Here is a 23,091-nt window from a genome sequence, read left to right on the forward strand (position 1 = left end):
ACTTAATAATAGGGTATCCAGAGAGTTATGAAAGCTTACTCTTTATAGATCTTCAATCAAGAAAACGGCCTTGTCCTTGGTAAGCTTACGTGTAGTTCTCTCATTGGAGAAACTGTTCTAAGCAAATCATGAAGTCCTACTTTCTCCCCAGAATATTAAGGTATCAGGTGCCCAAACTGGAAGGTTCTACTGGTCTCGGGAAACCTCAGGCAAACTGGACTCTTACCAGTTGCCTTTGATATTCTTAAGGAATTAATTTGAAAAACTTTATGCTTTCCCAAAATATCAAATAATACAGTAACATTTCAAAAGTACTACTCAATTTGAGTAAGGGACAATGAAATTTGCTTGAATTGCAAACATTAAAAGTAGTCAAAGCTTACTCAAAAACAAGGTGACTCTTTTCCCATATCTAACACCCTCTGAATACAATTCAAATTTGTGACTTGGTAAAATAACAAACTATGATAGGTTTTAGAAAACATTGTTGAAGCAACAAATGCCAAAGTTCTGTCTTATTACTTCTCTCATAACCATGGCTTCAAGCACCACACTGTTCTGCCTCAATAAAATGCACATCATTCAGAGAGCTGATGGAGGAGAAAGCAGCTAATAGCTCTGAAAGAAAGGAATGATTAAATACAGTGTATTGTGACTATTGTGTTTAATTTCATGATATATAAAGAAATTTAATGACTTATTTAGCTGTTTCTTCAGGATGGCTTCTTCTGACCTTTTACAGCTCATTCAGTGCCCTAGGAGAGAGGAAGATAAGAATGCATTTCAGATTCTTCCATTATCCTACAGTGTAACAGGTGGAGCATTTTCTGGTGTCACTACAAAACTTGATTAGCCTGGTTAGGAAGATGCTTTTCCAAAGGAGTGAAAGTGCTCACACTCTGCATGATGCTTTCCTTTCTCATTAAGCCTGACATTTCAGTGCTTTGTTGCAAACAAAAACTCATAATAGCACTGGACCAAGGGTATAAAATTTTGCGCTGTACACATAATACACTTTGTAAAAGGAAAGGGAGTGACAGAGTTGTTGATGTATGCTTTGTAGTTATCACTTTACGACAGTTACCAAACAGCAGCAGCTTTTTAGCTAGTTTTCAGACAACCGGTTTTGGACAGCTGTTCGAATATTGGCTACTCAACCAACCTATGCAATGATAATTTAGGGTGGGCTTTCGCCAGAAAACCAAGCATATTTACTCTACCCTTTATTCCAAATAAACAAATGGCCTACTTTCTCCGTAGCCAAAAATGTTAGCTAAATTCCTAAATTTCAATTTTGACCTTCATTTTAAGGAAAATGAGCATCTGTTTTACTTTTAGAAATGGAGACCTAACCAGAGAGTACCAGCAACCATTGGAAAAACATAGCAATGGTCTGTTAGGGGTGGAGTGGCTGTTTGATCCAGCTCAACTATCATTATGATCTAGGACTTAGATTTTCTGGAGATTGAGGAGGGGTGGCTAGCCATATGCATATGTCACTGTAACCTTCTCACACTGTATTACACCTCTTTATTTTCTTGATAGAAGTTTAACATTTGGGTGTGCTTTTCTTTTAATATTGAAAACATTTTTTAAATAAGTTGAATATTACCATTATTTAAACTGCCAAGTCTTTGCAAATTTTTTTAAATTTCCACTTTTATTTTAGATACAGAGAGTATATGTGCATATTTGTTACACAGGAGTACTGTGTGATGCTGAGGTTTGGAATACGGATCCAATCACCCTGGTAGCAAACATAGTACCTCATAGGTAGTTTTTTACGCCAACACCCCTCCCTCCACCCTCTGGTAGTCCACAGTATATATTGTTTCCATATTTACGTCCATACGTGCTCAATGATTAGCTCCCACTTATAAGTGAGTACATATGGTATTTGGTTTTCTGTCTTTGTATTAATTTGCTTAGGAGTATGGCCTCCAGCTCCAACCATATCCCTGCAAAGGACATGTTATTCTTTTTTATAACTGTGTAGTATGCCATGGTACATATATACCATATTTTTTTTATCCAATCTACCATTGATGGGCACCTGGGTTGACTCCATGTCTTTGCTATTGTGAATAGTGAAACAATGAACATATGAGTACATGTGTCTTTTTGGTAGAATGATTTAGTTCCTTTTGGGTACATACCTAGGAATGGGATAGCTGGGTCAAATGGTAGCTCTGTATTAGCTCTTTCAGAATCTCTAGAACGTTTTCCACAATGACTGGACTAATTTAAATTCCCACCAACAATGTATAAACTTTCTCTTTGCTCCACAGCCTCGCCAGCATCTGTTATTGTTTTTTACTTTTTAATAATAGCCATTCTGACTGGTGCAAGATGGTATCTCATCACGGTTTTGATTTGCATTTCTCTGATGATTAGTGATGCTTAGCATGTTTTCATATGTTTCTTGGCCACCTGAATGTCTTTTTTTTTTAATTTTTCATAGGTTATTGGGGTACAGGTGGTATTTGATTACGTAAGTTCTTTAGTGGTGATTTGAGAGATTTTGGTTCACCCATCACCCAAGCAGTATACACAGCACTCTATTTGGAGCCTTTTATCCCTCGACCCCTCCCACCCTTCCCCCCAAGTCCCCAAAGTCCATCGTATCATTCTTACACCTCTGTGTGCTCGCAGCTTAGCTCCCACATATCAGTGAGAACATTAAATGTTTGGTTTTCCACTCCTGAGTTACTTCACTTAGAATAATAGTCTCCAATTTCATCCAGGTGGCTGCAAATGCTGTTAATTTATTCCATTTTATGGCTGAGTAGTATTCTATTATATATATACACACACAGTTTCTTTGTCCACTCATTGATTGATGGACATTTGGGTTGGTTCCACGATTTTGCACTCGCAAAATGTGCTGCTATAAACATGTGTGTGCAAGCATCTTTTTCGTAAAATGACTTCTTTTCCTCTGGTAGATACCCAGGAGTGGGATTGCTGGATCAAATGGTAGTTCTACTTTTAGTTATTTAAGGAAGCTCCATGCTGTTTTCCATAGTGGCTGTACTAGTTTACATTCTGACCACCAGTGTAAAAGCGTTCCCTGATTACCGCATCCATGCCAACATCTACTGTTTTTTGATTTTTTGATTATGGCTATTCTTACAGGAGTAAGGTGGTATCACGTCGTGGTTTTGACTTGCATTTCCCTGATCATTAGTGACATTTAAGATTTTTTCATATGTTTGTTGGCCATTTGTGTATCTTCTTTGAGAATTGTCTATTCATGTCCTTAGCCCACTTTTTGATGGGATTGTTTTTTTTCTTGCTGATTTGAGTTTGTTGTAGATTCTGGATATTAGTCCTTTGTCAGGCTGCACGGATTGTGAAGATATTCTCTCACTCTGTGGGTTGTCTGTTTACTCTGCTGACTGTTCCTTTTGCCACGCAAACACTCTTTAGTTTAAATCCCAGCTATTTATCTTTGTTTTTATTGCATTTGCTTTGGGGTTCTTGGTCATGAAATCGTTTCCTAAGCCAATGTCTAGAAGGGTTTTTCCAGTGTCATCTTCTAGAATTTTATAGTTTCAGGTCTTAGATTTAAGTCCTTAATTCATCTCGAGTTGATTTTTGTATAAGTCAAGAGATGAGGATCCACTTTCTTTCTCCTACTTGTGGCTAGCCAATTATCCCAGCACCATTTGTTGAAAACAGTTTCTTTTCCCGTTTTTTTTTTTTTTGTTGTTGTTGTTTGTTTGCTTTGTTGAAGATCAGTTGGCTGTAAGTATTTGGGTTTATTTCTGGGTTCACTATTCTGTTCCATTAGTCTATGTGTCTATTTTTATACCAGTACCATGCTGTTTTAGTGACTATGGCTTAATAGTATAGTTTGAAATCAGGTAATATGATGCCTCCAGATTTCTTCTTTTTGCTTAGTCTTGTTTTGGCTATGTGGGCTCTTTGTTGGTTCCATATGAATTTTAGATATAATTGTTTTTTCTAATTCTGTGAAGAATGATGGTGATATTTTGATGGGGATTGCATTGAATTTGTAGATTGCTTTTGACAGTATGGTTCTTTTAACAATATTGATTCTACCCATTCATGAGCATGGGATGTGTTTCCATTTGTTTGTGTCATCTATGATTTCTTTCAGCACTGTTTTGTAGTTTTCCTCATAGAGGTCTTTCAACTCCTTAGGTATAGTCCCAAGTACTTTTTTTTTTCCAGCTATTGTGAAAAGGATTGAGTTCTTGATTTGATTCTCCACTTGGTCACTATTGGTATACAGAAGACCTACTGATTTGTGTACATTAATCTTGTATCCAGAAACTTTCCTGAATTCTTTTATCAGTTCTAGGAGCTTTCTGGAGGAGTCCATAGGGTTTTTTGAGGTAAATGATCATATCATCAGCAAACAGTGACAGTTTGACTTCTTTACCGATTTGGATGCCCTTTATTTCTTCCTCTTGTCTGATTGCTCTGCCTAGGGCTTCCAGTACTGTGTTGAAGAGGAGTGGTGTGAGTGGTCATCCTTGTCTTTTTCCTGTTCTCAGAGGAAATTCTTTCAACTTTTCCCATGTTGCCTGTGGGTTTGTCATAGATGGCTTTTTTTACATTGAGGTATGTCTGCTGTATGCTGATTTTGCTGAGAGATTTAAATCATAAAAGGATGTTGGATTTTGTTGATTGCTTTTTCTGCATCTATTGAGATAATCATGTGATTTTTGTTTTCAATTCTGTTTATGTGGTGTATCACATTTATTGACTTGTGTATGTTAAACCGTCTCTGCATTCCTGGCATGAAACCCACTTGATCATGGTGGATTACCCTTTTGATATGTTGTTAGATTTGGTTAGCTAGTATTTTGTTAAGGATTTTAGCATCTATGTTCATCGGGGATATTGGTCTGTAGTTTTTTTTTTTTTTTTTTTGGTTATATCCTTTCCTGGTTTTGATATTAGGGTGATGCTGGCTTCATAGAATTAGAGAGGATCCCCTCTTTATCATGTGAAATAGTGTCAAAAGGATTGGTACCAATTCTTTGAATGTCTGGTAGTACTCTGTTGTGAATGCATCTGGTCCTGGATTTTTTTTGTTTGTAATTTTAAAATTACCATTTTGATCTTGCTGCTACTTATTAGTCTGTTCAGGGTATCTAATTCTTCCTGATTTAAGCTAGGATGATTGTATTTTCCAGGAATTTATCCATCTCTTTTAGGTTTTCTAGTTTATGTGCATAAAGGTGTTCATAGTAGCCTTGAATGATCTTTTGTATTTCAGTGGTGTCAGCTGTAATAACCTCATTAAGAAACAAAATGGGAGATATTTGGGTTTTCTCTCTTCTCAGTTAATATTTCTAATGGTTTATCAATTTTATTTATCTTTTAAAGGATGAGTTTTTTGCTTATCTTTTGTACTTTTTTGTTTCAATTACATTTAGTTCTGCTCTGATCTTGGTTATTTCCCTTCTTCTGTTGGGTTTGGGTTTAGTTTGTTCTCGTTTCTCTAGTTCCTTGAGGTGTGACCTTAAGATTGTCAGTTTGTGCTCTTTGTCTTTTGATGTAGGCATTTAGGGCTATGAACTTTCCTTTTGCCTTTGCTGTATCCCAGAGGTTTTGATAGGTTGTCATTGTCATTCAGTTGGAAGAATTTTTTAATTTCCATCTTGATTTCATTTTTGACTCAATGATTATTCAAGAACAGGTTAATTTCCATGTATTTACATAGTTTTGAAGGTTCCTTTTGGAGTTGATTTCCAGTTTTATTCCACTGTGGTCTGAGAGAGTGTTTGATATCATTTTGATTTTCACGCACTATTGAATAGAATGTGTGTTCTGCAGTTGTTGGACGAAATATTCTGTATATATTTAAGTCCATTTGTTCTAAGGTATAGTTTAAATCCACTGTCTCTTTGTTGGCTTTGTCTTGATGACTTGTCTAGTGCTGTCAGTGGAGTATTGAAGTCCCCCACTATTATTGTATGGCTGTCTATCTCATTTCTTAGGTCTATTAGTAATTGTTTTATAAATTTGGGAGAGCTCCAGTGTTAAGTGGAACCTAACAATATGTTTATGGTTATGATATTTTCCTATTGGACAAGGCCTTTTACCATTATATAATATCCCCCTTTTTTATCTGCTGTTGCTTTAAAGTTTGTTTTATCTGATATAAGAACAGCTACCCCCCTGCTTACTTTTGGTGTCCATTTGCATGAAATGCCTTTTTCTACTCCTTTAAGTTTACGTGAGTCCTTGTGTGCTAGGTGAGTCTCCTGAAGGCAGCAGGTAGTTGGTTAGCGAGTTCTTATCCATTCTGTGGTTCTGTATGTTTTAAGTGGAACATTTAGGCCATTTACATTCAATATTAGTGTTGAGATGTGAGGTACCATTGCATTCACTGTGCTATTTGTTGCCTGTGTACCTTGGTGTTTTTTTTTTGTTTTTGCTTTTTAACTTGTATTTTTGTTTTATAGGTCCTGTGTGATTTATGCTTTAAAGAGGTTTTGTTTTGATATATTTCCAGGATTTGTTTCAAGATTTAGAGCTCCTTTTAGCAGTTCTTGCAGTGGTGGCTTGCTAGCGGCTAATTCTCTCAGTATTTGTTTATCTGAAAAAGACTATCTTTCCTTTATATATGATGCTTAGTTTTACTGGATACAGAATTCTTTGCTGATAATTGTTTTGTTTGAGGAGGCTAAAAATAGGGCACCAATCCCTTCTAGCTTGTAGGGTTTTTGCTGAGAAATCTGCTGTTAATCTGATAGGCTTTCCTTTTTAGGTTACCTGGTGCTTTTGTCTCACAGCTCTTAGGAGTCTTTCCTTCAAATTAACTTTAGATAACCTGATGACAATGTGCCTAGGCAATGATCTTCTCGTGGTGAATTTCCCAGGTGTTATTTGTGCTTCTTGCATTTGGAAGTATAGGTCTCTAGCAAGGCCAGGGAAATTTTCCTCGATTATTCCCTCAAATGTGTTTTCCAAACTTTCAGACTTCAATAGGTTTGGTTGTTTAACATAATCCCAGACTTCTTAGAGGCTTTGTTCATATTTTATTTGTTTTTCTTTGTCTCTGTTGGGTTGGGTTAATTCAAAGACTTTGTCTCCGAGCTCTGAAGTTCTTTCTTCTATTTGTTCAATTCTATTGCTGAGACTTTCCAAAGCATTTTGCATTTCTATAAGCGTGTCCAATGTTTCCTGAAGTTTTTATTATTTATACTATCTGTTTCCTTGAATATTTTTCCCTTCACTTCCTGTATTGTTTTTTGGATTTCCTTGCATCAGGCTTTGCCTTTCTCTGGTGCCTGATTAGCTTAATAACTAACCTCCTGAATTCTTTTTCAGGTAAATCAGGGATTTCTTCTTGGCTTTGATCCATTGCTGTTGAGCTAGTATGATTTTGTGTGTTGGGGGGGTTGGGGGGCGGTGTTAAAGAGCCTTGTTTTGTCATATCACCAGGGTTGGTTTTCTGGTTCCTTCTCATTTGGGTAGGCTCTGTCAGAGGGAAGGTCTAGGGCTGAAGGTTTTTGTTCACATTCTTTGGGGTAGTGTTCACTTGATGTAGTACTCTCCCCACTTTCCTATGGATGTGGCTTCCTGTGAGCCGAGCTGCAGTGACTGTTATTTCTCTTCTGGGTCTAGCCACCCAACAAGTCTACCCAGCTCCAGGGTGGTACTAGGGATTGTCTGCACAGAGTCCTGTGATGTGAATCATCTATGGTTCTCTCAGCCATGGATACCAGCACCTGTTCTGGTGGAGGTGGCAGGGGGTATGGTTGTGAAATGGACTTTGTGAGAGTTCTTAGCTTTGGTGGCTTAATGTTCTGTGTGTTGGTTGGCCTCCTGCCAGGAGGTGGCACTTTCCAGACAGCATCAGCTGTGGTAGTTTAGAGAGAAACTGGTGGTAGGTGGGACCCTAGAACTCCCAAGAGTATATGCCCTTTGTCTTCAGCTACCAGGGTGGGTAAGGTACCATCAGGTGGGGGCAAGGCTAGGTGTGTCTGAGCTCAGACTCTCCTCAGGCAGTTCTTGCTGCAGTTGTATGGGGCATGGGGGTGAAGTTCCTAGGTCAATGGAGTTATGTACCTAGAAAGATTATGGCTGCCTCTGCTGAGTCATGCAGATTTTCAGGGAAGTGGGGAAAAGCCAGCAGTCACAGGCCTCATCCAGCTCCCACACAATCTGAAGGGCCGGTCTCGTTCCCACCATGCCCCCAATAACAGCCCCAAGTCTGTTTCCAGACAGCGGGTGAGCAGGGCTTGAGAACTTGCCTCAGGCTACCCACCTCGCAGCTGCGAAAGAAAAGGGCTTTGGTTCTGCCCCAGCCTGTGGACTCTACATGCCAGATTCACACCCTCCCAAGTTCTGGCCAGGAGTCTTCTCTCCCAGTCCAAATTGTCACAGAGTTCAGCCAGAGACTTCCTTCTCCTTGTGGTGTTTTCCCCCGCACCTCTGGCCACCCTCCAGAAGGATCCCTGTGTTGCCAGGCAGGAATGGCTTGCTTGGGGAACCAGCCAGCTCCCAAGTCCTTCCCCTTTGCTTCTTCTACCCCTGTATTTCGCTCAGCTCTCTAAATTGACTCAGGTCCAGGTAAGGTTGGAAACTTCTCCCACAAACTAGTCCTTCGGTTTTCCCAGTGGAGTTGTTTGTTCGGGAGTGGTGAATCTCCCTTTCCCACTTCCACAGCTGGGGCCTCACAGTATTTGGGGTGTCTCCCGGGTCCTGCAGGAACAGTCTGCTTCCTTCCTTTAGAGAACCTGTGGGTCCTCTTGGGATTCCTGGTTTGTTCTTTCAGTTGTTCTGGAGCCAAAATTCACGATGCAAGCCTCCGCACACTGCTCTGTCTATCTGAGTAGGAGCTGCGATCTTGTATGTCTTTTGAGAAGTGTTTTGTTCATGTCCTTTGCCTATTTTTGAATGAGGTTATTTGGGTTTTGCTTATCAATTGAAGTTCCCTATAGATTCTGACTATTAAGCCTTTGTAGGATACATAGTTTGTAAATATCTTCTCCCATTCTGCAGGGTGTCTGCTTGCTCTATTTTTGATGTGCAGAAGCTCTTTAGTTTAATTAGGTCTGATTTATCTGTTTTTGTTTTTATTACAATTGTTTTTGGGGACTTAGACAAAAATTCTTTGCCAATGCTGATGTCAAGAAGAATATTTCCCAGGTTGTCTTCCAGGATTTTTATAGTTTGAGATCTTACATTTAAATATTTAATCCATTTGGAGTTAAATTTTTTATATGATGAAAGGTAGGGGTGCAGATTCAATCTTCTGCATATGGCTAGCCAATTATCCCAGTAACATTTACTAAATAGGGGTTTTTTCCCATTGCTTATTTTTTTCAGCACTGTCAAAGATCAGATGGTGTAGGCATGTGGCTTTATTTCTGAGTTTTCTATTATGTTCCATTGGTTTAAGTGCCTGTTTTTGTACCAATATCATGCTGTTTGGGTTAATGTGGCTTTTTAGTACAGTTTGAAGTTGGGTAGTGTAATGCCTCCAGCTTTGTTCTTTTTGCTTAGAATTGCTTTGGCTATTCAGGCTCTTTTCTGGTTCCATATGAATTTTAGAATATTTTTTTTTTCTAATTGGGTAAAGAGTGACATTGGTAGTTTGATAGGAATAACATTGAATTTGTAAATAGCTTTGGGCAGTATGGACATTTTTATGATATTGATTCTTACAATCCATGAGCTTAGAATGTTTTTCCGTTTATTTGTGTCTGATTTCTTTCAGCAGTGTTTTATAGTTCTCCTTGTAGAGATCTTTCACCTCCTTGGTTAGTTGTATTTCTAGGTAATTCAGTTTCTTTGTGGCTATTGAAAGGGATATTGTGTTTTTTATTTCACTCTCAGTATGGATATTGGTGTTTAGAAATGCTACTTATTTTTGTATCTTAATTTTGTTTTCTGAAACTTTACTAAGGTTGTTTATCAATTCTAAGAGCCTTTTGTCAGAGTCTTTAGGATTTTCTAGGTATAGAATCATATCATCAAAGATGGATAATTTTCCTTCCTTTCCTATTTGGATGCCTTTTATTCCTTTATCTTGCCTGATTGCTCTGGCTAGAAGTTCCAGTACTATGCTGAATAGGAGTGTTGAGAATAGGTATCCTTGTCTTGTTCCATTTTTCAAGGGGAATGGTTCCAGCTTTTGCTCATTCAGTATGATGTTGGCTATGGGTTTGTCATAAGGGGCTCTTGTATTTTTCATAAAGATAACAGTCATTGCCCTATTTAGGAACTGCACTGGACATGGGAATTTTACTTTTAAAAAATGTTTTGAGATCACCTGTTGAAACTGTCATAATCAATTTGTTGCCATTTTTATACTACTGAAATATACTTAGAGGTATTATGTTTGACATCCTCTATAGTGTTGTTAGGAGGCAGCATGGTTTTATGTAAAATACTCATTTATCTGTAATCTAAACCCTTAGTAGAACACACTCTATCTTATTTATCCATAGAAATAAGAGGCATGGATCCACTGAAGCAAGTTAGGAGGGTCAGAAAAATCCTGTTTAGTATATAAACAATACATGCAATTGTATGCTATAAAGAGCTGCATGAAATTAATTTTAAACACAGGGTTATCAAAAGATGATATAGACCAATGGTCAGAAAAGTCTAAAATAAATGGATTTTATCTTATGTTATAATTTCTATTTCTAAATTTCTCACACTTTCCTCCCTGAATTTAAGTATGCCTGAAATTTAGAAATCAAATATACACTATGAAATATAAAACTTTCCTACCCTTTAAAACATATTATTCCTGAAAATATCAGTAACATGTAATATAAACAAATTCACATGCTCTGTAGATCTGCATTGTCCAATTCATGCTGTCTTTAGTAAGAAAGCATATAAAAATTATATTAAAATAGAAATGACTGGTGGTTAATGAGTTAATACTAGTTAATAAATTAACAAATATGTTAGTTACTTATCACGGCATAGTAAGATTAGCAGCCGAAAACAACAAACCTTTATTATCCCCCAGTGTCTGTGGATCAGAATTCCGGTTGTAGCTTACTTTGGTGCCTCTGGCTCAGGGTCTTTCATGAAATGGCAATCAAACTGTTATCTGAAGCTGTGTTCCTCTGAGACTGGACAGGAAGAGAATGCACCTCCAAGGTAAATCATATGGCAGTTGGCAGGTCTCAGAAGACCTGCATCTAAGCTCACTCAGTCCCCTGCAGAGGTCTGCCTCATGACATAGCAACTGGTTTCCCCCCACAGCAAAAATAATCCAAGAAAAAGCAAGAGAAATCCCCAAATAGAAGCCACAGTCTTCTTTTCACTTACTGTTGTATGTGATATTCCATAATGTTTGCCATATTCTAGTCATTAACAAGTCAGTAACTCCAGTTCACAATCAAAGGAAAGGGATTACACAAGGGTGTGTATACCAGGAGGTAGACATCTGGGGTGAAGGTGGAGGCTACCTTTCATTTATTATGTTGACAGTCTCTTAGAAGTATATCTTTTAGGTGGTAGTTTTGCTTAATCACTATTCATTTCTTATATATGATACTTAGTTCAAATATTCTATATCAATATATCTGGCTAATTCAGTTGTTTGCACCTATTGAAATAAAGGCTCCAATAAGTACATTTAAATATAATGTATTCTTCCATATAAAGTAAGGTATAACTTACTTTATATAGAAAAGTGGGATATTTTTGACATTGTTAGAAACCAATTTGTACTTTCTACATTTAAAATCACCTTCACACATAATTTCTAAGTATCAAGTCATTGTTAAATGCCATTATTTGAAAATAAAATTATAAAATTATCCGGTACAATAGTAATAAACTCATTTTTAGCCCACAAATCAAATCTGAAAACTGACCTCTGTATTTCTGCCAAGAATGTTTTTCTGGTTCAGCAGAATGGGGTTAAAACATTGGATAGAAACAAAATGTAAGAGCCAAAATGTAAAAGACTTAGAAAACTTTAGTTCATAACTATCATTTTCTCAGATTTTTATAAATAAAAGAAAAACAGCATTGATCAAAAACAGGCATAACATTCATACCTGCCTTTTAACTATAGATGCTGCACATATAGCTGCCATTCATTCACCACTTCTCAAAGTTAAAAAAGAATCAAGTCTCACTCTAAATTATTTATATAATTCTTTATATAAGCATCATCAAGGATTAAATTTAAATTTCAATAATGAGTCACAAAATCTGTCCCTTCCAGCTTTCTAAATGATTTTTTTAATACATTCCATATTAGACTATTACATTTTTGGCTTTCTTAAGACAGAAATGCTATAAGACTATCTGATTTCTACCATTACTTTTTTTTAATAAGGCGGGGTCAAGCCAATTCTGTGACCTGTGGGTATTTCAGACAATGTCATGTTTAGGGGACTAAATCTTTTCTGAGTATCTTTCTCCCTAACCTGGTTCTTGACTGTGGTTGGTCCTAAACGGAAAGTGTTGGATGTGACAAAAGACAGATACTAATGATCACGCATATCTGCAAAAATCACACCTCACAGCACTAAAGACTTCAAGGCTTTTCAGAATACTCTGTGTCAAAATGATTCATCACTTTCAAGACTGCCACTTCAAAATATTTCTAGCAATCACATAAGGAACATGCTGAGAGTGCTGTAAATTAGATCATTTTAAACATATAGAAGTAACTTTATTTTCTTAACTGCTTTCATCTAAGCAGAAGATATTCCCAATTTAGAGGTTCTTCATAAATGACAATACACATTCACATAAGAATTGTTCATAGAAATGCTAATGTACAAACACACACACTCATTACACATTTAGGCTCACGCATGCTGTGAAGAATAAAACAGCTTCTCATCTCAAGCAATGCTGAAATATACTTTTGTTAAAGCATAAAAGGCACTTGTATAGATGTATAACCATCAAACTGAAGGTTTACAAGTTAAACAATTTAAAAGGGAAATAATGAGTGCTAAGAAGTTTCACTTAAAAATTAAAGCTTGTTCCATAGACCAAAAAATATGTAATTACTAGTAAGCAAAAATAAATCTCTATTTTAATTCCTCCAAGAAAATAGCTCTTTCAACCATTACGTGAATTCATCAGCTCTAAACATGAAAGAACAATGGCTGGTCTTTCCTCTAGAGATGCTTTCTAAATGTGAAAACAAAGTTTTATTCAAGACCTTTACGAACACAGAAGAAGTTAGTTCTGACAATGAGATCTGTGTTTGGAAAGAGTATCATATTTATAAGGATTCTTGCAGGTCATAAAGCACCTTTGTGCAAATTAAAAAATAGCAACCCCTCTGGGCCCAGATTGTCACATGAACAGCATTGTGAATTATGGGCTTCCTTTTATTTAATGGATACAGACTTAAGAGGAAACACAGGCAGGATTTTGGCCTCTTGTAAACCCCTCCATTGTGCCCACTTCTACAAAGAGCACAAACCGCACAACCATAGATGACAGTCCTGGTTTTAGGTGGCGGGACTCTGAATGATTGGGGAGCAACACAGGTCACCAAGCAAACATTCCAGTATAATGCTATTATAGCAGGTAGCTAGTCAGGCATGAGCAGGACAGGAGAGGGCTCCCCCTGACCCAAACACACACCAGGAATGTCAGGTGACCATCAGATTATGGTCAGGCAGTTGTCACCCTGTCTCTCTAAAGTAATAATTGGTCACAGCTGGCACCAGGGAAAGGTTGTCTCCCAGTAGATGGTAACACCTGCAACTGGTGATCAGCAGCTTCCCGGTAAGATCTAGGAGTCAGGCGAGTAGGCTCAAGCATATACATTAAGAGGCCAAATGGCAGAGTTTGACTGGTTTGTGATCTTCCAGGGACATTTACTTGGTAAGGGAAGAAGGCCTCAAATGTGCATGTGTACAATTTCAGTAAACACTGTGCATGCTCACCTCCGAAGTGCTAGCAAGCCACTCACATGGGGACAGCCCACTCCAAGGGAAGAATCGGGGGTAAAGGGATGCAAGAACTTAGAAGTACGCCAACATATAAAACCTCAAGTCAAGGTCAAACATGGCACTTGATCTCTCAAGTCACTGCTTGGCCATCTTCTAAGTGTCCTTTACTTCCTTTCATTCCTGCTCTGAATCTTTTTAATAAACTTTCACTCCTGCTCTAAAACCTACCTTGGTATCTCCTTCTGCCTTAAGCCCCTCACTTGATTTTTTGAGACAGAGTCTCACTCTGTTGCCAGGCTGGAGTGCAAGGGCGTGATCTCGGATCACTGCAACCTCTGCCTCCTGGGTTCAAGTGATTCTCCTGTCTCAGCCTCCCTAGTAATGAACTACAGGCACACACCACCACACGCAGCTAATTTATGTATTTTTAGTAGAGATGGGGTTTCACCATGTTGGCCAGGATGGTGTCGATCTCTTGACCTCATGATCCGCCTGCCTCAGCCTCCCAAAATGCTAGGATTACAGGCATAAGCCACCACACCTGGCCCGAATTCTGTCTTCAGAAGAGGCTAGAATTGAGGTTGCTAAAGACCCATACAGATTTACTGCTGGTAACAATGCAACCCTAATATGGTTTCAGCGTTTGTCCCCTTTAAAACTCAGGTTGAAATTTTCTTGCCATTGTGACAGTACTGGGAGATGGGACCAGTAATAAGTGTTTAGGTCATGAGGGCTCTGCCCTCATAAATTGACTAACGCTGTTATCACAGGAGTGAGTTCAGCCTCTCTTGCTCACATTCTCTTTCACTCCCCCTCTCTCTTTTCCCTTCTGCCATGCTATGATGAAGGCTCTCTCACCAGTTGCTAGCACCCTGGCATTGGACTTCCCAGCCTCCACAACTGTAAAGTCAATCAACTTCTGTTTATTATAAATTACCCGGTCTGTGGTGTTCTGCTAGAGCAGAACAAAACAGACTAAGACAAAGTCTTACAATGCAAATAGTTAACCTGAGAAGATTAAGTTCTAGGAGGTTTCAAATAGAATCCAGAGATCAAGGAAAATAGTGCAGAGAATCCCAAAGCCAAAGAAAATGAATAACTCTGAATTCCACAACAATGATATTCTGGCAATCTCTGTAATTGGTTTTGTCGCCGAGAACTAGTTTATCTGCTAGAGAAAGCAAGAGAAGTAACATATTTTTATACCATATTTTATAACATGCTTTATAAAATGCTTGATCCAGCTGTCTATTCTCTGGATTGGATTACAAATGTGATTACAAATGTGCTATAGACAGGGACCTTAAACTGTGAATGTCATGTACCTTATGGGTACTTAATAATGCAAAGCAATAAAATCTCACTTTATACAGAGGGAAAAAGGGAAAAATGGGATTTTGAAAAATTAGTTGGGTAAAAATGACTAATTTCTACATTTATGGAAACAATTATTTGGTGATAAGGGATAATCTCAAAAGTGTCCTGCATACACTATCCTAAAATATCTCCATATTCCATTTATTTTAGTGTTTTTCCAGTAGGCATGCATGAGTGCATGTCATTAATTTGGTGAATGAGAAGTTTGGTGACACCATTTTTCTATATCATGAAGATATATTCACAAGTTAGCTTTGGGCTTATAATTAGATGAAGCACAAAACTCTGATTTATTAAAATTCATTGCAGATTTTTGGACAGAAATTTATTCATGCTCAAAGGCAACAAGAAATTATTGTGAAGGTCTGTGAACTGAAATTTGTATTACTTTTACCCCAGGAAAAAAACAAGAAGTGAAACCTGTATTATCTTTACTATAGTGTAATTCATATCTAAGTGGACCAAGTTAATAATATGGTTGATGGAAAATATAACTGATAGTAATGCTAATAAAATATGAATAATATTTTTAAAATGTGGTTGAATATAGAAAACACTGCAATACCAATGACAATACAACAGCCCTAGATTCTAGTTAGCACAAATCCCCATTCCCCTTCCAGCAAGCACACTTGTTCATAATCTTTTGCACAACTGACTCTATTTAATTCTCTACTAACATTTCCTAAACCTACATTGCCATCTCAATTTGCCTCTTGATCTCTGCAAATTATTTCTCATCCCCATGTCTCTCCCTGTGCCACAAATTCCACCACTCTCAGACAGATGAGTAGACCAAATTCATTAGCCTGTGTTGAGATTTATTTCTCCCATCTATGATGATCTGGCCTCTTCAAAAGTCTCTTTTAATTTTTTTAATTTTAATACTGAAAAAGTAAAATAGCTTTTAATCACACTATTTTAAAATGTATAAAAAGTTAATGTATAAAAAAATTAAAGTCACATTTCCTTTCTCCAATCCATCCAATTGTGATGGTCAGAGGTTGCCATGGTTAATAGGTTGTTGCCAATCTTTTCTGACATTTTACCCTATTTATTCGTTTGTCTTTCTCTTTCTCTCTCGTGCATCTGTGTGTGTACATACTTACATATTCACCTTTTTTTATCCCTCCAAATATAGAATCACATACACAGGCATACATTGCTTTTCCCATGAATAATATCTTATTAATATCTCCCCATATTAACACAAAGAGGACTACTTTGTTTTATTAAAGGGCTGAGTGGTATTCCATGGTATGACTCTTCAGTAATTTCTTAATGTTCTGTTGATAATTTACATTCAGTTTTTAATTTGTATATACCACACTGCAATGAAGTTAACATACATCTTTATATACTATCTCCTTTTCCAATACAGGATATTGGATCAATATATACTTCAATATATACTTTTGCCTTTTTTCAATATGGTAAATTTCTCAAAATGGAATGGTTAAATTATAGAATTTTGTATAAGATTCCTGAGAACAGGATTAGTGCCTTTTCTTTCCTTGTAGCTTCCCACATGATTCATATAATATTCCAAGATATGGTAGTGACTAAATGGGGTTAGCAGACTCTAGTTAATTGAGTTGTTGACTATTCTAAATACAGAACTGATATTTGTAAACATTCTGAAGAAAATTGATTGACCCTTTCATTTTTTTCCTACAACAATAGAGCACTGCTATGTTATTCAATATCTAAAATATTTCTCCCATTTTGATTAAAAACTGAATTATCAGAAACATTTTTCTATATTCATACAAATTGTATAAAATGGAAGATAAATGTGTGCATATTCTCTGCAATTTGTAAAGAGAAAAAAATGGGTAAACTGATTCCTACTGCACAGCATGTTTGTGAAGGTTCAATGAAAGGATGCTCTTAGTAAGTCTTGTATAGTATTCTCCATATACAGGCACTCAGTGGCTATGACCTTTCTTCATTATAATCACTGGAGAAAGCCAAGAGCTTATGTTTAAATGCTATATTACCATATCCTGTTTTAAGTTATAGAAATTGTTCAAAGTAGGAGAATTAAGTTATAATTATCAAAAAGGTTTTAGTGACATAAAATCTGCAGTGTCTTGGGAACTTTAACATAAATAAAAACACTTTCAAAGATATTTACTTGTGAGCCAATGTTAAAGAATTAAAAAATAACAAGCAGACAGGATTTCGAAAATACAATTAGTCATCAAGCATCCTTGGTTTTTCTATGTCCAATCTGTGAACTGGAAGTACTCTCTTTTATGTAACTTGAGTGACAGTGGTAAACCACATCTTTGATGGAAGTAGCATCCTTGCAAGAGTTCTAGCACTTAAAATTTCTACTCCTGGCACACATAAAGGCCAGCATATGTATGTTTCATGAACTTTATCATTTCCTAAGATTATCATTTCCGTATTACAGCAAGCAAGGACATACACACTATTAAATTCTTTAGAACTAGAAAGACGACTTAAAACTCAAGCCCAATTTCAAACCCATCCTCTTCTAAGGTACAATGTATATTGGCCATATTGGACCAAGCACCACAGAAGTTTAGTATACACTTTTCCTGCTCCAAATGTAAGTTTGACCTTTCACCTTTAAGTTTCTGATTCTATTTTTTCTGCATACAGTCATCATCCCTCAACCTTTTTTAAGACTGTAGTCAAATCCTACCTTCTCTACAAGGCATTCACTAATCCTTCTCCTGCACTTGGGTTTGAGATGCTAATACAGCTGACTTTCTATGACTTTCTGTGATTAAATGTGGCTCTACCACTTTGCCATGAGTCCACATAGGCCATACGATCCAACTTACTTTTACTCTTTTGCAGTATTATTTGATTCTTACCCTTCTAGAACCAGGTTCTAAAGACATTTTTTGAACTGAATTTAGCTGAGTTGAAGATAACTATTTAATCTTTAAGCATGTAAGGCTCAAAATATGTGGTCACTTGCCTCTACTAGCAATAGAGCTAGACAAAAATAAGCCATTAAGTGAACTATAATTAAATTTAAAAAAACCATAACTCTCCTCGACTTTTTTCCTAAAGTATAATTTGGAACTAAGAAAGTTTGAGGATTTGAGGGAAGTTTAGTTCATAATTATGTTCATTAACAATATTATTGACTCCATTGCATCGAGAACCATACTAAATGCTGTATACACAGGAGTGAGAAAAGGGACATTCCCAAACAACCAGAATCTCTTAATTTAGTGGGGTTAAAAAAGTAAATCATTATAATCCAGTGTTATGACAGAGTAAGTACAAGGAGTTGAGATGCCCTATAGGGAAATGAAGGCTTCTAAGAACCATCTAAGAAATGATGCGACAAATGATGGGAATTAGCCAGCAAACAAAGCCACGAAAGGACAGGGCGAGAGTAGACACAGTTGCACAACTATGGAAAAGAAGAAGCAGCATGGGAGCTGTCAGAGGATAAATCCACTCTAATTTTTTTATTCCCTTCAGTGACTACCAAAGGGTTTTCTTGAGTTCAACTAAACATTTAAATTTACAACACTAGCACATGCCACTAAGAAGGACACAGAACACGAACTGCAGCTTACTGGTAGTGTAGTACCAAGCATTCCTCATCAATGTGGACACCTGCAGTATTTCATACAGCAACTCATATAGCTCTCCAGAAGCTATTTTCTCCCCTGTGTAACAACTCAAAAGCCAAGAGACAGGATCCACATAAAATGCATATAGGAGATTCCCTAGATGGAAAGCCTCATAGCTGACAAGAGCCACTCTCTTGTAACAACTCCATACTTTCCAGTGACCACACAAAGAATATACCTGGAAATAAGAGTCACCACACTCAGAGAAGCCCAGTGTTACTTTGCCAATCAAGGGTAATGTTCCCATAAGGAAGATTGTCTAGAAATAGACTCCATATTTAACAGAGCCAGTTAACTGGTGGTCATAATTTCATACAGAAGGGGAAAGAGCTTTGTAATCCTCTGCCCACACTCCCTCTGTGATTAGTCCTGGATGGGCCAGTGATCCAGGTAGTGGACACAGCATACAGAAGCCTGTGGGAAAGAAAAAAATGTACATCCGCTGTCTAAAAGCAAGTTCATAATGACTGGAGCATATTGGGGTTGGAGGAGAGTAAAAGATGCTGGAACTGGCAAAAGAAGAGCCACAATGCAGCAACAGAGAGTATACTTTGCAGGGCTATAGTTTAATATAGAAACACTAAAAGGTTTAAAGCATGGGAATAATTTAGTCATATTTATACTTTAAAAAGTTATCTATTGCCTCTCTATGGACAGTAGATTGGAAGAGCATCAGAAAGCCTAATACCTTATGTTTGACCCAACAAATCCACCCCTACCCTGTTTGCTTCCCAAGGGGCTGATCTGAATGCACTACAACAGAGGATTCACTATCTCATGGCTTCCTGTTAGTTTCAACCTAAGAGATCCAAGGTAAGAAAGAGGCCAGAGTATTCATTCTCCTAAATTCTATCCTCCAAGGATTCCTGAGGTGCTATCTGCTCCTTGACCAGGTGCCCCTACTCTTCTCTATGTGATTGTCTCTGAAGAGCTCACTCACACCTGGGTTCTGATAACACCTCCCCTTGAGACTAACTCCAGGCCACTCAACTATCTTTTCTGACCTCCCTTCACATACATTTGTATACAATCCTTCTATGAAACCTGTCTAGAATTCTAATTTACATGCTCCATCTATTTTCTACTGGTTCCTGTGCCAATCACAATAAGACATTAGGTCAGACAACAAGTGAATAGGTGTTGGTATTCAGCCCAAGACCTTTTTGTAAACATTTTACTATTTGTGTGCCTCTCCACCCCGCTATCTGCATGCTGCCTCTAACAAGAGAAGTTATAACTCAATTAGGATATCAGTCCTCAGACTACTGGAGCTACTTTGATAGGACATGAAAGCCAGCACAGAACATGGGTGTTTATATCTTTCCAGAGTGGTCCTGAGACAATGAGTGGCTGGTGCAAGAGTATGAAAGCCCAACTCCCTCGCTCCATCTTAGGACAATTTCTGAGCTCCTGATTTTCTGTGTTCCTGATTTTCCCTGTGGGGTCAACTGATATTATTCTGCACAGAGGATTCAGTACAAAAAAACGTGTGGCTACCTTCTTCAAAAAGCAGGAACAAAGTGCTATTAGAGGTACTAAAATATAGAATATTTTCTTCTATGATCTGTCTTGTCATGACGTTTTTATTTGCTTTTATGTCATTCTAAGTTTTTTTAAAAAAGCTTAAAATTTTAAATCGTAAGCCTATATTTCCCCATTCATCTTTAGATTGTGCAATGCCTGTTTTAATACCAATATAAAAGCAATTAACTCATATGCAAAATCTCTAATTACACAATTTGTATTTTGTAGCTTGTACATGCACATGTATTTCATTGTTACCAAAACAATGCATACACTACACAAAAGTAACGGAAGTGTTTTTCTTTCATTTATTGATAGGCTCACATTCTATCAACACTCACTTTGGCTTACTGAGAAGGAAGGAGTAAAAGAAAAATGAACTGTGGTTTGCTTTATTTCCCACTTTCCTTCTGTGTCATCGTTTTTCGCATAAGTAGTCACTAACACAGGGAGGTAACTCTAGTAAGAATAAACCTGATGTTTCTTTGGTTGTGTGTGTATCTGAGAATGCCATTGACTTCTTTCTGCATTCTCAGCAAGTGCTGTTTTAAAGGGAAAGCACAGCTTCTAGGAGCTGTTGGCACCCTGATGTATTCAGTCATAGACTCAATCCACTTTTGTGCTTGCTTTGAGTCTTGCTGAACTCCCACTACTGCTGAGTCACCAAAATTCCATGCTTATGGGCCATTGCAAATGCTACATATGAATGGGAAGGCAAGAAATGGGAAACACATAAATTGCACTTCTCTCCTCTGCTCAATTGCATGCTCCATTTTCCCATCAAACTTCAACCACAAATACAAATTCAAAGATAAAGTTTAAGAATTTCAAGACATAACAGCAGAACATTAAGCCAAGCAAGCTCCCCTCTGAGTGAAGGTCCCTGTGCAATTGCAGAGGTTGCACATCCAAGTCATCTTTATCTTCACTGGATTTTGCTGAAATCGGGCCCTTTTATTATTTCTCCCTTTCCTACTACCTCTAGCTCCTTATTGGTTTCTCCTGGCAGTATCTCCTTAATAAATCACTTGTGAATGAGTCTTTTTGTCAAAGTCTGCTTACCAATTTAACCTAAAACGGTTTTTACTGAAAGTGTTCCTGAGAAGCAAATTTAATATGGGATTCAGGAGCTGGATCACATACTTAGCAAATAATAAAACACTGTACTCCCTTTCCACCATACTGGTGATGAGTTTGATAGCTTCTGGAATTCTGTGGCACTGAAATTGCTAGAATATTCGCCTATTTAATTGGGACAAATACAAAGAGATGCCCTGGCTTGGGCAGTATCTGTCTTGATTTATGACTATCGTGAAAATGTGGAATTGATTGCTTTTAACTAGGTTATACTAAAGTTTTAAAAAAGAGAAAATGGCAGACTCAACTGATTTACTTACCAGCTTAATGATACGAAAATCAGAAATTTCCCCATAGTGAAATTTAAAGGGACCCTCATGTCCTAGAGCAGGAGTCAACAAACTCCAGACCTTGGGCCAAATCTGATCCCTTATTGTTTTTTATAAATGTTAAGTGAAATAAGTCAACCACAGGAAGAAAAATACCGCATGATCTCAGTTATATGTGAAATCTAAGGGGAAAAAAAGGTAAAATATGCAGACAGAAAATAAAACAGTGGTTACCAGGGATGGGGGGGGGATGAAGGGAGAAATGGGGAGATGTAGGTCAAAGGATGCAAAGTAGCAGATGTGTAGGATGAACAAGTCTAGAAATCTGATATATAACATGAGGACTATACTTAATACAATTGTATTGCATTAGGGATTTTTGTTAAATAAATAGTTTTAGCTGCTTTTGTCACAATAATACAATGTGAGATCACAGACATTTTTAATCTGTTAATCTTCACTATAGTAACCATATTACCGTTTATATGTATCCCATCACATCATGTCGTAAATCTCAAATATACACAACACAATTTATTAAATAAATTATGCATTATTATTATTAGCACACAACCATGCTTATTCATTCCCTGTGGCTGCATTCATACTACAAGAGCAGTTTAATAGTCGCAACAGAGACTGTATGGCCTGCAAAGCCTAAAATATTTATTGTCTGGCCATCTATAGAAGAAATTTGCAAATCCCTGTCCTGGAGTCTGAGAACCAGCCTGAGCAGAAGAAAAGGCACAGGACTTGTACTAGTGTGTTCTCACACTGCTAATAAAGACATACCTGAGACTGGGTAATTTATAAAGGAAAGAGGTTTAATTGACTCACAGTTCCACATGGCTGGGGAGGCTTCACAAACATTGCAGAAGGCGAAGGGGGAGCAAAGTCATATTGTACATGGTGGCAAGCAAGAGAGCATGTGAAGAGGAACTCCCATTTATAAAACTATCAGATCTTGTGAGACTTACTCACTACCACGAGAATAGTATGGGGGAAACCACCCCCATGAGTCAAGATTAAATTATCTCCACCTGGCCCTGCTCTTGACATGTGGGGATTGTTACAATTCAATGTGAGATTTGAGTGGGGACACAGCCAAACCATATCAGGACTTGATTGTAAAAGTAGGAGAATTTCACTGAAGGCTGAATGCATTGCCTTCACCAAAATTATGGCTCTGATAGAGAAAGACTGAAACTTGGAATAGAAACATCTGGGTAAAATGCATTTAAGTTCATTCAGCTGCCAGATTTTCTTATTGGCTTA

At 37.4% G+C, this 23,091-nt stretch overlaps 2 long non-coding RNA genes across 3 annotated transcripts in view; one reads left to right on the plus strand and one right to left on the minus strand.

Moving 5' to 3' along the window:
• Window positions 1-647: 647 nt before the first annotated feature.
• On the minus strand, window positions 648-11,340 carry LOC105379150 (uncharacterized). Its single transcript, XR_001742865.2, has 3 exons — window positions 11,281-11,340; window positions 10,960-11,081; window positions 648-755 (listed from the first exon to the last, which is right to left on the minus strand). It is a non-coding gene; the product is annotated as an uncharacterized LOC105379150 (long non-coding RNA).
• Window positions 8,460-23,091, plus strand: part of LOC105379149 (uncharacterized) — a 49,301-nt gene continuing 34,669 nt past the window's right edge. For both annotated transcript variants that reach the window (XR_948712.3, XR_001742862.1), the window contains exons 1-3: window positions 8,460-8,556; window positions 19,623-19,699; window positions 20,214-20,418. This is a non-coding gene — a long non-coding RNA (uncharacterized LOC105379149). The remainder of the gene's footprint in view (window positions 8,557-19,622; window positions 19,700-20,213; window positions 20,419-23,091) is intronic.

Source organism: Homo sapiens, chromosome 5 (genome assembly GCF_000001405.40).
Source record: "Homo sapiens chromosome 5, GRCh38.p14 Primary Assembly".
Classification (NCBI taxonomy): domain Eukaryota; kingdom Metazoa; phylum Chordata; class Mammalia; order Primates; family Hominidae; genus Homo; species Homo sapiens.